Source organism: Homo sapiens, chromosome 10 (genome assembly GCF_000001405.40).
Source record: "Homo sapiens chromosome 10, GRCh38.p14 Primary Assembly".
NCBI classification, from domain to species: Eukaryota; Metazoa; Chordata; class Mammalia; order Primates; family Hominidae; genus Homo; species Homo sapiens.
The window spans coordinates 14593528-14607736 of NC_000010.11; the positions used below are offsets into that span (position 1 = coordinate 14593528).

At 47.4% G+C, this 14209-nt stretch overlaps 1 protein-coding gene across 12 annotated transcripts in view, besides 7 other annotated features; it reads right to left on the minus strand.

Annotated features, from left to right (window-relative positions):
* The window catches only part of FAM107B (family with sequence similarity 107 member B), a 256341-nt gene that overhangs the window by 74971 nt on the left and 167161 nt on the right, over nt 1-14209 (minus strand). For 7 of the 12 annotated variants that reach the window (NM_001282697.2, XM_047425814.1, NM_001282696.2 and 4 more), the window contains exon 1: nt 10713-10874. The exons of 2 other annotated variants lie outside the window; for them this stretch is intronic. The gene's annotated coding sequence lies outside the window, so the exon portion shown is untranslated. Of the gene's footprint in view, nt 1-2096; nt 9324-10712; nt 10875-14209 lie in introns of those variants that run through there. 3 more of the 12 variants (XM_047425813.1, XM_047425819.1, XM_047425815.1) reach the window with 2 other exon arrangements.
* Nucleotides 2002-2502: an enhancer, noted in NCBI's record as "H3K4me1 hESC enhancer chr10:14637528-14638028 (GRCh37/hg19 assembly coordinates)". NCBI's record gives its function as "activates a minimal SCP1, AML or CMV promoter by ChIP-STARR-seq in primed H9 embryonic stem cells {active_cell/tissue: H9 hESC(primed)}" and the evidence as "EXISTENCE:reporter gene assay evidence [ECO:0000049][PMID:30033119]".
* Nucleotides 2503-3003: an enhancer, noted in NCBI's record as "H3K4me1 hESC enhancer chr10:14638029-14638529 (GRCh37/hg19 assembly coordinates)". NCBI's record gives its function as "activates a minimal SCP1, AML or CMV promoter by ChIP-STARR-seq in primed H9 embryonic stem cells {active_cell/tissue: H9 hESC(primed)}" and the evidence as "EXISTENCE:reporter gene assay evidence [ECO:0000049][PMID:30033119]".
* Nucleotides 5399-5582: a silencer, noted in NCBI's record as "fragment chr10:14640925-14641108 (GRCh37/hg19 assembly coordinates)". NCBI's record gives its function as "represses an EF-1alpha promoter that drives an FKBP-Casp9 reporter gene in an ReSE screen in HepG2 liver carcinoma cells {active_cell/tissue: HepG2}" and the evidence as "EXISTENCE:reporter gene assay evidence [ECO:0000049][PMID:32094911]".
* Nucleotides 5666-5755: an enhancer, noted in NCBI's record as "active region_3076". NCBI's record gives its function as "activates an Ori minimal core promoter by ATAC-STARR-seq in GM12878 lymphoblastoid cells {active_cell/tissue: GM12878}" and the evidence as "EXISTENCE:reporter gene assay evidence [ECO:0000049][PMID:35858748]".
* Nucleotides 8443-8612: an enhancer, noted in NCBI's record as "active region_3077". NCBI's record gives its function as "activates an Ori minimal core promoter by ATAC-STARR-seq in GM12878 lymphoblastoid cells {active_cell/tissue: GM12878}" and the evidence as "EXISTENCE:reporter gene assay evidence [ECO:0000049][PMID:35858748]".
* Nucleotides 10282-10501: a silencer, noted in NCBI's record as "silent region_2161". NCBI's record gives its function as "represses an Ori minimal core promoter by ATAC-STARR-seq in GM12878 lymphoblastoid cells {active_cell/tissue: GM12878}" and the evidence as "EXISTENCE:reporter gene assay evidence [ECO:0000049][PMID:35858748]".
* Nucleotides 10732-11231: a silencer, noted in NCBI's record as "silent region_2162". NCBI's record gives its function as "represses an Ori minimal core promoter by ATAC-STARR-seq in GM12878 lymphoblastoid cells {active_cell/tissue: GM12878}" and the evidence as "EXISTENCE:reporter gene assay evidence [ECO:0000049][PMID:35858748]".

The following is a 14209-nucleotide window of genomic DNA, read 5'->3' on the forward strand; positions in this document are numbered from 1 at the left end:
TAACAAATAAACAAAAATTAGCCAGGCACAGTGGCGGGCACCTGTAATCCCAGCTACTCAGGAGGCTGAGGCAGGAGAATCGCTTGAACCTGGGAAGTGGGGGTTGCAGTGAGCTGAGATCACACCACTGTACTCCAGCCAGGGGACGAGACTGAGAATCTGTCTCAAAAAAAAAAAAAAGAAAATTATTGCTTATCATGGCTAAAATTATGTAACCAGCTCTTACCAAGCTACTTGAGTGTGTAAGGTGTTTAAAATCTTTTCCAAAATTTCAGAATTCTTGGGATATACAAAGAACTCCTCTGCAATACAAAACTATGAAATCTTCCAATATAGACTATATGTGGCAGGAAAAAATACCGTTTAGATATAGAACTGTTCGAGAGTAAAATGTATTATACATAATACAATTAGATAAACATGTTGAAAAATGCATGATGCCTAATTAAATTCCATTCATTAATAGGGTAACAGCCTTGGGGCACTCTGTACAAAAATGGCATTTCTGGTAAACACAACATTTAAAACAACTCAAACACACAGGCTCTGCCTGATGACATAATTATGTGTTTTTAATTTGGTGCCATTCTGACACTATGCCTAAGAATACTTCACAAATGGATCACTTTAAGACACTATCATCTCCATACGGTAATGCCAAAATAAAAATTCAGTACAAATATTCCCCTTAAAACTACAATTTTCAGCCAGGCACGGTGGCTCACACCCGTACTTTGGGAGGCCAACGCAAAAGGATTGCTTGAGGCCAGGAGTTCAAGACCAACCGGGCAACAGAACAAGACTTCATCTCTACAAAATATAAAATTTAAAAATTAGAGTGGTGAAGCGCTCTGCAGTCCTAGCTACTCAGGAAGCTGAGGTGGGAAGATCCCTTGAGCCCAGGAGTTCAAGGCTGCAGTGAGCTATGGTGGCACTGCTGCACTCCAGCCTCCATGACAGAGCAAGACCCTGCCAAAAAAAAAAAAAAAACAAAAAAAAACAAAACTGGCAAATGCATTCTCCAACTGGAATCCCAATCTCTTTGTGAGGCTACGAAGACACAAGCCTCAAACACATGGTGAAGGGCGTGTGAAGAAGCAGTAAAGACACAGCTCCATGAGAAGAAGGCCCAAGTCTGATCCCAGCTCTTAAAACCCCGAGCAAGCTTTTAACCTCCCTTGTTGAAAAACACTGATCATGGCACCTCTCATGGAACTGCATTGGTTGGTGCCTCTACAACTGATTTCTAGAAATCACAGAAAATAATGGCCATAACTGTGCCTGGCATATAACAAATGCTCGGGAAATGCTGGCCACTGTTATTTTTATTCTCATCTTAAGGCACATCTCAGTGGACCTTTTTCTCATCAGCACAGGGTATCTCTTATGATAGATGACAAACTCTAAGAAGGTTCCTTAAAAGCAGATGTCTTAGGCAACAATGGATGGACTTCAGAAACACTATGCTACATGAACAAAACCAGACCCAAGAGAGAGGCCACACTGTGATTCTACCTGTACAAAGGCAAAACGCTACAGACAAGAGAAAAGATCACTGATTAACTAAGACTGGGGGTGGGAGGGGGAACTGACTGCAAAGTCTAAAAACTGGACTGGGGGGAGGCTGCCCACCCTTATAAAGTTACTAAAAATTACACAACTGTGTACATATAATGGGTGAATTGTATGGAATATAAATTATACCGCAATAAAGCTATGCTAACAACAAAACAGATACATCTCCCAAGCATTTCTGCAGGTACTTTCGTATCAATCTCGCAATGAGAGTAAATGCAGATATGTACAGAGTCCAGCAAAAATGATTGAAAACGCAAGACTTGGGCATAGATCAGACTTGGATCCTAATTCTGGCTCAGCTTCTTCCTAGGGCAACCTTTTTTTTTTTTTTTTTTTTTGAGAGGGAGTCTTGCTCTGTCACCCAGGCTGGAGTACAGTGGTTCGAGCTCAGCTCACTGCAACCTCCGCCTCCTGAGTTCGAGCGATTCTCCTGCATCAGCCTCCCAAGTAGCTGGGACCACAGGCGTGCACCACCACGCCTGGCTAATTTTTATAATTTTAGTAGAGACAGGTTTCACCTTGTTGGCCAGGTCCTAGGGCAAACTTTTTACTTCTCTCCCCCTTGGTCTCCACATCTGTAAAATGGGAATAAAACAACACTAAGTCCAGAGGCTGATGTGAACATCATAAAGCTCATCCTCCACCAGTCTCCCCATATCAATCAATGGCACCATCTTTCACCCAAAGGCTGAGGCCAAAAGAGCAGGTGTCACCCACAATGCCTTTCTCTCTTGTATCAACTCCAATCCATCTCACCAGCGGCACCCCGGCTGGTCTCCCTGCTTCTATTCCTGGCCCTCTGCAGTCCCCGTGGCCCTCCACAACCACAGGGACACACTGACAAAATACAAGGTCCATCTCCTGCACGCCCTGCTCAGAACTCTCCTGTGGCTTCCTCATGAGCCACGTCCTCACCGTGGCCTGCCAGACCTCCTTGGACCCCACTGCACAGCTCTCTTCCTGCCCTGGCCGCTGGCTCCTCCCACACAGGCCCTCTGGCCATTCCTTCCATAGCAAGCTCCTGCCAGCCACTGGGCTGATATTTGCACTTGTTTCTGCGAGGCTCATCCCCTTGCCTCACTCAGATCTCAAATTCTCCTCCTCGGAGGAGCCTCATCCTAATAAAAACACAACCTGCTCTCCCACCAGACTCCAGCCCCCTGAACTGACTTAGTTGTCTTTACAGCACTGACCATGGGAATCACCTCATCCATGTATCTGTTTACCTTCTGTCATGCACTAGCATATAAACTCCATGCAGGCAGGGAGTCTGTCTGTCCCAGCCACCATGCTAGCCCGTGATCCCACTGATCCCCAGAGCCTGGAACGATGACTGGCATATGGCAGCATTCATTAAATAGTTGCTGAATGAATGAAGAAATGTCATAAAGAACTTGACACCATGCCTGGTCACATATAAGATGATTAAAAACTGTTCATTGATGATAATAATAATATTACCAGTATTATTACTGCATTTCACAGGTAAGAATATGCAAACCCCAAGAGGGCAACTGACTCACTCAGGTCAAACTCTACGTCTGATGTCTATGACTTCTATGACACCTCCCATTCCATGGGCACAGAATAACAGAATTCACCCACCGCAGCAGGAACCTGAAAGATGATGTAGCTGATTCTCTTGCACACCCGACGCCCTGCCTCCTCTCACCTTCTAAGAGTCACCTATCCTAAGGGGTGGCCCACATGCTGTTCCAATTCCAGAGCATTCCCTAGAAGGACAAGCAGGCATAAAGAATGCAGGCTTCTATCTCACCCTAAGACAACTCTAAGAAGTAGGTGAGTGTGACTATTTCCATTTTATAGAAGACGACGCTGGGAAACAGAAATAATGACATGCTCAAAAGTCATATACTCATTCATGGCAAGCTTAGGCTTAAAAGTCTGAAAATCTTTCAAGTCTAGGCCTCTCTCTTTCCGATACACTACTTTACCCTGCACATCCACTAAAAAAAGAAAAAATGAAAAAGAACCCTGACCAGTTTTATGTGTTTCAAATAGAATCAAGTTACAAGGGAAAGAATATTATGAAGCCCCCTCTACATACGCATATGCACAAATGGCATTCTCAACTTCCTCCAGGACATGGGAATTTTGATACATCTACATTAAACACTCACAAACCACCTGTGATTATTTATACTGCAAGATTTCATAAGACTGTACAATTTTTGTAAACTCATTAGCATTCACCAGATACCTTAAAACTTGGATAAAGCGTGAGTTTTAACTTTCACAAAGTATGCTCTGTCCCATATATTAATAATGGCACAGAAAAGCTTATACCACAGTAATGACAGCCCTCTTTCCTATACACTTTACTATGACACTTTAGGAACAATGCCAAAACTCTTGTCCAAGAATGGAATAAAACAGGCTATTTCTAATATGAAAACCCAGTTATCTTTAAAACTCTCCTGAAGGCATGAAGAGATACTGAGGAGCAGGTGGGGACAAGGGACAAAGCTCCCATCCTCCAAGTGTCCCTGTGTCCGCATCTTGACATCACTGCCGGCTGCATTACTAACACTCTGAGTTGAGGCCAGGCACGGTGGCTCACACCTGTAATCCCAGCACTTTGGGAGAGGATTGGCAGGCGGATCATTTGAGGTCAGGAGTTCAAGACCAGCCTGGCCAATATGGTGAAACCCCATTTCTACTAAAAATACAAAAGTGAGCCAGGCGTGGTGGCACATGCCTGTAATCCCAGCTACTCAGGAGGCTGAGGCAGGAGAATCGCTTGAACCCAGGAGGTGGAGGTTGCAGTGAGCCGAGATGGCACCACTGCACTCCAGCCTGGGTGACAGAGTGAGACTCTGTCTCAAAAAGACAAAATAATAAAAAAAAACTCCGAGTTGAAATGTCTAAGTCCTTAGCCCATTTTTTAGTTGGGTTCTTCATTTTTTTACTGTTGATTTGCGGAAATCCCTTAAACTTCTCAGATATTAACCCCTTATTGGATATGTAGTTTGCCAACATTTTTCCCCATTCCACAGGTTGCCTTTTCACTCCGTTGACTGTTTCCTTTGCTGTGCAGAAGCTTTTTAGTTCGATGCAATCTGGTTTAGTTTTGGGTTTGTTGACTGTGCTTTTAGCGTGGCAGCCGCGTAATTACTGCCAAGACCAGTGTCCTGAACCTCTTCCCCTATGTTTTCTTCTAGGAGTTTTGTGGAACCAGCTTAACCATCAAGGACAGATGAATGGGTAAACACATGTGGTAATATACATACAGTGGAATACCAGGCAGCCTTAGAAAAGAAGCAGTTCCGCCACAAGCACGAGCATGCATGAACCTGGAGGACCAAGTGAAAGAAGCCAGGCACAGAAGGACAAATACCATGTGACTCCTCTTAGATGAAGCATCTAAGTAGCTAAACTCATAGACTTGAAGAGTGGAATGGTGGTTGTCAGGGACTGCAGTGGGGGAAAATGGGGAGTTACCAATCAATGGGCCCAAGGTTTCAGTTCAGCAAGAGGAATAAGCTCTAGAGAGCTGCCCTACAACACTGCACCTGCAGTCAACAATAAAACACCGTACGCTTAAAAATCTGTTAAGAAGGTAGATCTCATGTTAAGTGCTCTTATCGCAGTAACATTTTGTAAAGAACATTTTTTGAAAGGCTGTGGGCACTGGCATAACAGCATAAACACCCCTCATTTGCCAAATCTCAGGGACCACATGTCCCCACCATGCATGGGAGGTGCATATAACCCAGGCGACCTCACAGATGAGAATACTAGAGCTCAAGGGGTTACGGGACTTGCTGGAGGTCAAAGAGCTGGGGCCTGGATCCTCACCCTGAGAGGCCAGGCTCACAGCTCCACACCTTTCCCCTACAGCACCTTGCTCCGTTCAGCAACTCCACTCCTCTGGCCCAGGCTGTGGCCAGGCAGGGCTGTCACCTGGAGATGTTCCAGCATAATTCAAGTCAGCACTGACAACAGAAAGGAGAGAGAGAATGAGGAGGCACAACCCTCTAACCTCATGCACCTAAACCTGCCATGGTCGGAAGAGCCAGTCTGCAACCTGCATTTTTTCTACCTTGTTTCTACGGGAGACTTGACAACACATACATAACCTGAGGGTTGCTGGGGCTCAGTGTCCCCCCCCACTTCAAGACTTCTAAGTCTCCCGACTGCTAAGGACTTAAGCAGCCCCACCAGGAAGAGGCCTGCTGAGCAGCCCAGAGGGTCCCCTGCCCTCTCACAGCCTCTAAGGGGGTGCTGTTCTTACACCCCAGTCTCTCTGCCACAGCAGAAACCCCAAGACTTTGCTGTGTGGAGGAAACATTATTGTCTCCAACCCATGTGACTTACACACGCCCCCAACACCACTACAGACCACAGGGCCTGTTTTAGGACTATTCACGTGTGCTTAACTCACATCCTTGGTAGGCTAGGCCTGGGGGCTCACGTCTATAATCCCAGCACTTTGGGAGGCCAAGGCAGGAGGATCACTTGAGCCCAGGAGTTCAAGATCAGCCGGGGCAACATAGTGAGACCCCATCTCTACAGTTTTTTAAAAAAAGATATGCTTAACTCACACCTTTGGTAAAACATCTCTGGTCAGGGAATATAAAAGAATGTAGAATCTGCGGCTGAATAATGATTTCTATTTCCATAGAACATACACACTCAACACAACTCCCTCTTTGTGGGGAAGCCCTTCTTCTTTCTCAGTGCCAGCGTGTACCCTGCTGTGGGATCACTGCTATTCCTTGATCTACAAAAAAAAAAAAAAAAACTCTTTTCCATCACATACATCTCATGAATCTCAGAACTCAATTTTACTCTTTAAATATTTTTAAAGCTGAAAGATTTATTTTCACTTAAAAACAAAAAGTCAGTCCCAAAGTCAAGAGTTCACCTGGTGTCAAAGCAACATTACCTCCTTTTTCTGCATCTCTCTCCCCGTTTTCCTTCCTACAGCTCATCTGAGTCCGAATAATGTTCTTAAATAAGTCTTCTCACTCTTTCCCCACAAATTCCTCTTATCTTTTCATTTGCAACAAAACCTCTGGTGGGCACAGCTGTAGTTGGGTGCCCTTTGCATGATACAAGTCCTCACTTCTGGAATCCAGGCCAGCTCAGGACACCACGTCCTACCACAACCGGCTTCCCAGGGCTACTGGCCATGAGGTTTACCTTCAGCAAGGACACTGGGACAGAACCATACGGTTTCCCGATCCACCTTCAATCCCAAGCGACAAAGTGTCCGAACCCCACAGCCAAATTCCAGACAGAACTGAACAGTCCACCTCATCTGTTCAGCTAAGCCCCTACCAGCAGGCTCTGAACTGATGGGCGCTAGGCAAATCCCTATGCAGCTCCATGGCCCGCCGCACCCACCCACCCTGACATTTCCACCATCAGAAACCCAACCCCCACCTTCAATGGCATTGACATCATTCTTTCTGAGATACCTTAATTCACCAAGCAGTGCTTTCCCTTCCCAGCTCTTAACTGTAATTAAACAATTTTTGTGTAATTTTGTATAATTCTTTTTTATGTATATGTATATGTATTTTTTAGCGACAGGCTCTCACTCTGTCACCCAGACTGGAGTGCACTGGCGTGATCACAGCTCACTGCAGCCTCGAACTCCTGGGCTCAAGTGATCCTCCTGCTTCAGCCTCCAGGGTAGCTGGGACTACAGGCATGCACCACCACTCCCAGCTAATTTTTAAAAATGTGTTGTAGAGATGGGGGTCACTATGTTGCCCAGCCTGGTCTCAAACTCTTGGTCACAAGCATTCCACCTGCCTCAGCCTCCTGAGTAGCTTCAACCACAGGAGCGCGCTGCCACACCCAGCTAATTTTTCGTAGAGATGAGGGTCACTATGTTGCCCAGGCTGGTCTCACACTCCTGGCCTCAAGCAGTCCTCCTGCTTCAGCCTCCCAAAGCACTGGGATTACAGGCACAAGCCACTGTACCCAGCCCAGTTCTTTAAATATCCTCCTCACCTGCCTTATAGTCTTGTTAACAGCAGTAAACCCAGTGCCTGGCACATGACGGGCACTGAATGTCTGGTGAATGGAGAGTAAATGACAAGCAAAGCCTCCCCCATCAACCTTAAAATAGCCCCTTGTCCATGCACCATAACTAAATGGCAATCTAATCCAGCTTGCCAAATAATCTTTCTTTCTTTCACTGATGGGGTACCGGAATTAGGGATATGAGATGGGTAAGACTGTCCATTCCTCTTCAGCACGTTTCCTAAGTACTTAGGGTGAGGGAAACTTCAGATGGGTCAGGCCCAGCCCTTCTTGAACTAGAAAGGAAAAGGGGAGAAAAATGGTTTGTTTCAAGAAGGAAAAGCAAAAATAGGCCATGATTAGACAAGGGAACTATACAAGGAAATGCAGCAAGGTCTCATGAGGTCATCCCAAGGCCACACTCGACCCCATGATGCACACAGAGGACATCCCACTCCACAGCAGCTTTCCCACCCCCGAGTGTGCCCCACAGCACACTAGCACCCATAGTCACCTTCTCTAGGCTGAAAGAAGAGTGACAACTCCCCCAGATAGCCGGGGACTTCTACAAATGCCCAAAATCTAGATCTCACTTACCCAAACTCCCAACTCATTTCCTTAAAACACTTGCACACAGAATTCTGGAGGGAAGGGGCAGAAGGTAAGTTAGGAATAACATTAAGCCATATTCCTCATCTTTCCTCTTTCCATCAGGAGAGAAGTCTTCTACCCCTCCACCATTCCCAAAGAAAATCAGTAAAACTCTTTTCCACCTTTACTTGTGAGATTTTAAACAATTAACAGTCAAAGGAAAGATTCGATGAATGAATGAATGAATGACGGCGTCCATCCTCCCACATCAGGAACAAGATTTCACATGTCAGTTTCTCAGAAGCGCAAATCAAGTCCATTTTTAACCACCCAAGGAAGGGGATCTCCAGTCCCCTGGGGTAGGAGATTGTGACATTTCCTATTGGAGCTTCGTTTGACTTTTGCAGACAGAAACACATCACGACTCCTGAAGGAATGCCGATCATCAGAGCAGACTGCATGCATGACTCATTCACTCACAGGCTACTACTGCACCGCAACACTCCCCTGAGCGTGTGTGCAGATTAAAGCGCCCCGAGTGTCAGGAACTGCAACAAAAATGCACCTGAGTGGACACAGCCACAACTTCCTTCTTGTAGATTCTTCTAACTTCAAAATGTATTGCATCATCCTAATGATCAACCTACTTCTAAACGGTTGTCTCAAAGACCTCTATTTTGCATATTAGAGAATTCAAAAGTCCAAAAATGTTACAAGAGGAAAATAAAAGTATGTAATGACAAAAGCGTCCAGTGGCCAAATCTGTGGCTAAAGAACGATTTTATTTTAAAAGAACATACACACTCAACACAACTCACGATTCTCAGGAAAACCCTTATTTTACTTTCTCAGTGCAAGGTCTTTAAGAAGCCAGCATGCACCCGGTTGTACAATCACTGCTATTCCTTGTTCCACAAACAAGAATTCCTTTCCATCACATATTTCTTATGAATCTCAGAACACAATGTTACCTTTAAAATATTTTTAAAGCTTAAAGATTTCATTTAAAGACAAAAGTCAATCCCAAATGACTCCTGAATTCAAAAATATAGTCCATGAAACTTTTTTGTCAGCCCATTCTTCCAAATAAAGTGGAAATTTACATTGTTTTTCCTGTTTCTTTCTTCTCCCTTCTGTACAGGTGGTTATATGCAAACCTATAAGAAAATATATTTCAAAACAACTTGTCCGTATTAATCTTGGATGTAAGTGGCATACCAATATTGTAGAATTATCATGATTAAATATATTTTAGGCTGATGTGGCTGGTCAGTAATGCTCTCATTTACCACCCCACCCTCTTTCCCACACACACACACACACACACACACACACACAAACACACTATGGCTGCCAAGTCATAAATTAAGCAAAGATGCCTTCATCCTTAGGGTGTGTTTGGGTGGTGAGCATATGAGTGGTTTTTTTCTATATATTTTCAATTTTTTAATTAATATATAAAATTTTCTCATGAAAAGTTTTAAACCGGAAACCAGCAGCGCTAAGAAATCTTCTCTGGACAGGTAGCCCAGACACTATTTCAACTTAAAGCCACTTGGATAGATAGAATTTCCAAAGTGATGTTAGGAAAACGTGGCTGGAGGAGAAAACCGATGTACTTGATAGCAAGAAATCGCAAGTTTAAGAATGTGAAGTCCAACAGCCCTCATTCCGTTTTTCTTTGACCCCTCAAAATCGCACCCATCCTATCAAGTAACTTTGCTCCGCTGTCATTGCCTAAAATCTTTGGGAGGGAGGAAGGAAGCAGGCTTGGTACCTTGCAGCAGAGAATGAAATCTACAGTTTACCCTCTCAACCTAATTCCTCTTGCAGATTTCACAAGTGGTGGACACCATCCCCTACATAACACTAACACTTGGCCATACCCATCAGTGCCACCTCCAAGGGACCTAAAGATGCCTGGGGGAAATTACGGAACCCAAATTGAATTAGGACTCCTTGTGTGTGTTACACCACCCCATATGCTGGGTTCACTGGAACAGGGGAGAAAGAGAAGAGGCAAAAGAGGAAAAGTTACTTGCAGACTGGAGTCAGTGTCACGGCCACCGTCGGCGCGGGGCAAACCTCCCCGGCCCCGGCTTTGTCTGCCTGGCGGGGGCTGGCGTCGGGGCGCGACCCGGTCCACGCCGGGCGCCGCGGGGCGAGGGGCGCCGAGGGCGGGCATACGGCGCACACGGCCAGGCAGTGCACACCGCGCCGGGTAGGGCTCCCCCGCGGCAGCGCCGAGAAGGCAACAATGAGCCGGGCGGCCGCTGGGCCCCTTCCCCGCAGCGGCCCCCGCCTCCGCGGCGCCCCCCGCACGGCCCCGCCGCGTGCCCGCCCTGAGCCCCGGCACCTCCCGGGCGCCGCGCGGGGTGACCCGTGGTCCCCGTACGCCCGCTGCCCTCCCGCGCACGGGGACCCCCCACCCGCCCGGCCGCCCGCCCGCCGAGAGGGTCCCCGGAGCCGGGGTCGGGCAGGGCCGCCGCCCGCCTCCCCGCGCCCCTCGTCTTTGTGTGGAAAGTAAGTGCGGGAGGCGAACCTACCTCGGCGCGCGCACAAAGGCGCGCGGCTCCCTCCCAGCTCGCTCCCGGCGCCCGCGGCGGCGCCCAGCGGCCCGACTGCTCGGCGGCGGCCCGAGGCGGCGCGAGGGCGGCTCCGGGGGCGGCGGCCCGGCCCGCAAGCCAGTCCGGCGCAGGGCGGCTCTCGCTCCCCGCGGCCCCGCGCGTCCGAATTAAGCGGCGGGGCGGGGAGGGGCGGGGCGGCAAGGCCACGCCCCCAACGCGCCCCGCCCTGGCAGCCCCGCCCCCGCCTTCCTTCCACGGCTCGCGCGCGTCGGGCGGAGATCCAGAAAGGCCGGGCATCCGCGCCGGGAGGGGCACCAGCCGGGGCTGCAGCGCTCGGCCTCCGGGACTCGGTGGGAGCGAGGGCTGGAGGGAAAGCGCGGCGGCCCCGGATGACCGGGAAAGTGGGAAGGCGGCCGCGTGGGTCACAGCCACAAAGCTCCGGGGCGCTCACTCTCCTTTTTTCTCACTCCCTCGTTCCCTCGCTCTCTCCCTCTACCTCTCTGTCTCTCTCACACACACATTCTCTCTTCTTTTATCTCTTTCTCTCTCCCTTAATCTCTTTCTCTCTCATTGTCTCTCTTTCTCTCATTCTCTCCCTCATTCTCATTCTCTTTCATTCTTTCTCTCTCCTCTGTCTCATTCTTTCATTCTCTTTCTCTCTCTGTGCTCACCCCCATCTCTCTCTCTTATTCTGTCTCACACACAAAGTACCCAAGAGCGTCTCGCTCCTGGGTGTCCGGGCTCCGTCTCCCCGGCAAGTCTGCGATGCTAAGAGGCCGTCCCCATAGAAATCCTGCCAGTTCCTCTTGGAAGAAAACGCAGACAGAATCAGGGAGGAAAAGGAGACATTTGTTGTAATTGTACAAATTTACGGTCAAGCCAGGACCCAAAACCCGGTGACCTGGAGATTCACCCATTTTCCTCCCCTCCCTTCATCAAAGGGTAATTGGAAATTTAAATATGCAAGAAAGAAAGGGTTTATTCCGCCTCTTTGCTCTCTGATCTCCTTTTCTTCAGCTCTCTTACAAGTGCTTTTCTGGCCAACCCTAAGGCTCTGAGATTACAATCTACTTGAATCACAGCAGGTACAAAATCAGGGACTGAAACAGTTATCGGTTTCAGCGTAGCAAAAAGGACAACAGGTTCGTGGATTTTAGATCAAAAGCTTTTTAACTGTCTTGGCAACAGATGACTAAGGGCTTATTTATGGGGAAATTTTTCTGACTAAGACAGTTTGGGTCATAGTCATACTGAAAAGTCACATCAGTTACGGATTTTGGTAAACAAATTACTTATTCCAAAGATACCTATCACACACCATGCTCTAAGCCACAGCCTGCCAGCCAAGTAAGGGTCTGGCCATCCCTGGGTCCCTGGAACCCACTGAGGGGTGGAATCCCTGCCAGAGAACTTAAAGAAACTCCTTCCCAGCTGAGGAAGCTGAATTCCATGAACTTTATACATGGTGTTTCCTATGATTCTTCCTTCTCTCTCGTCCTTGAGTTGTGTTTCTGTTCTTAACAATGGCTCCACCAGTCACCAAACCAAAACCTAGGATCCAGCCTAAACTCTCTCCCTCCCCACATTGGCATCAACTCCAAGGTTTGTGCAGTGTGCACAATTCCTGGCTATCTCCCTCCCCCTCTGCTGGCACCGCCACTGTTGCCTTTGGGCTCAGTCACAATATGGTGGCAGGGGTTTCCTAACTGGCCCCAGCCTCTGGTCTAACACATGCTTTTCCTCTCAACTTTCTGGGGTGCAAGTGAACTTTCCAGGTGCAAGATGCTCAGTTTCCTCCTCTGCTTGAAACACTTTAGTGGATGCCTGCTTCCTGCTACATGATCAAGTCGAAGCTCCCCAGCAAACATCCAAGGCTCCACTCAGCCAGAGTGCCGTATTTGCTAAGTGGCCCTGCTCTGTGATGAAGACTGGATGAAATAATGAATATATGGCCTTGTCATGCTCTTCCACGGGCTTCCCCTCTGCCTAGCAGACCTTCACCAATCCCCAAGAGCTCCTCTCCTCTCTGAGAATCAGTCTTCTCTGGAAACCCTTTCCTGACCTGCTCACACTAAATGGATCTTTTCTGCCCCTCCCATACCCGACATGGTATTGGCGTTATTGCACTGTATCGTAAATATGTGCCTCTGTGAGCCCAGAGTTGATGCTTGACATATATACATATCTTTATACCCTCTTGCCTAATGTAATATCTGGCATATGGGAAGTGTTATGGACTAAACTGTGTACCACATACCCCTATAATTCATATGTTGAAGCCCTAACCTCCAATGTGACTGTATTTGGAGACAGGACCTATAGGGAGGTAATTAAGGTTAAACAAGGTCATAAGGGTGGGACCCTAAGCTCATAGGTCTGGTGGCCTTATATAAGGAGGCAGAGACACCAGATCCCTCCTTCCTTCTCTCTTCCTCTCTCCCTCCCTCCTTCCCCTCTGTCCCTTTCCCCACTCTCTCTTTCTCTGCCCAAACACAGAGAAGAGGCCACATGAAGACACAATGAAAAGGCCGCCAACTGCAAGCCAGAAAGAGAGGCCTCACCAGAAACCAACCCTACTGCCATCTTGATCTTGGACTTCCAGCCTTCAGAACTGTGGGAAAATGAAATGTCTTGTTTAAGCCACTCAGTCTAGGGTATTCTGTTACAGCAGCCCCATCAGATGAATAGAAAAAGCATGCACTGGATTCGAGATTCTAACCAAAGATGCATTGGATTCAAGATTCTAAATCCCATCCCAGCAGTGAGCCTGACTTCTCCATACAAAGTAGCCTGGACAAACATCTGTGATGCAAGGCCACAGGCAGAGTGTGTGAATGTGATAAGTGACCACGGTCTTTTCCCTGCCCCGTGAGAGAAATAGAAACAAAGGCTCGTTCCATACTCTGGGGTATAAATGCCTACAGGCTCAAAGTCACGATGCTACCTTTTGCACCAGGTACCATAATTTCTTTTAAACCAAAAACAAATAAGAGCAAATATTTACTTTGAATTTATTAATTCAAATAAAAGACAGGAGGCCAGTATCAATATATTAAATCTGCTCTTTTAGGCTGAATATCTCACATCCCTAGGGAATCTTAGTGGGATTTTAATTCAGGTAAGATCAAGTATCCAATTTGGTTTGGGACCCCTGGAGCCACTGTGGGGGGATCCCAGGAAATAAAAACTCAAAGGTTATGAGCTATGGTGATATTTCCATTTGTATCCATACCATCCACCACAGTGTCTGCAACATATCACTCTGTGGGTGATAGATGCTTGTTGAATGAATAAGCCTCGTACTTCCCAGGGTTATAACAGGCAACACCAGACCCTCAGCCCGAGTCTGATATACTGTAGATTTCACATTCTGAATGTAGACAGGACTCTGGAAAAAGTCAAGGGAACTAGTGGCCTAAATAGCCTGCTGGGCTGTATTTAAGATTTTGTTCTGGGGCTGACACAGTTTATCAGGT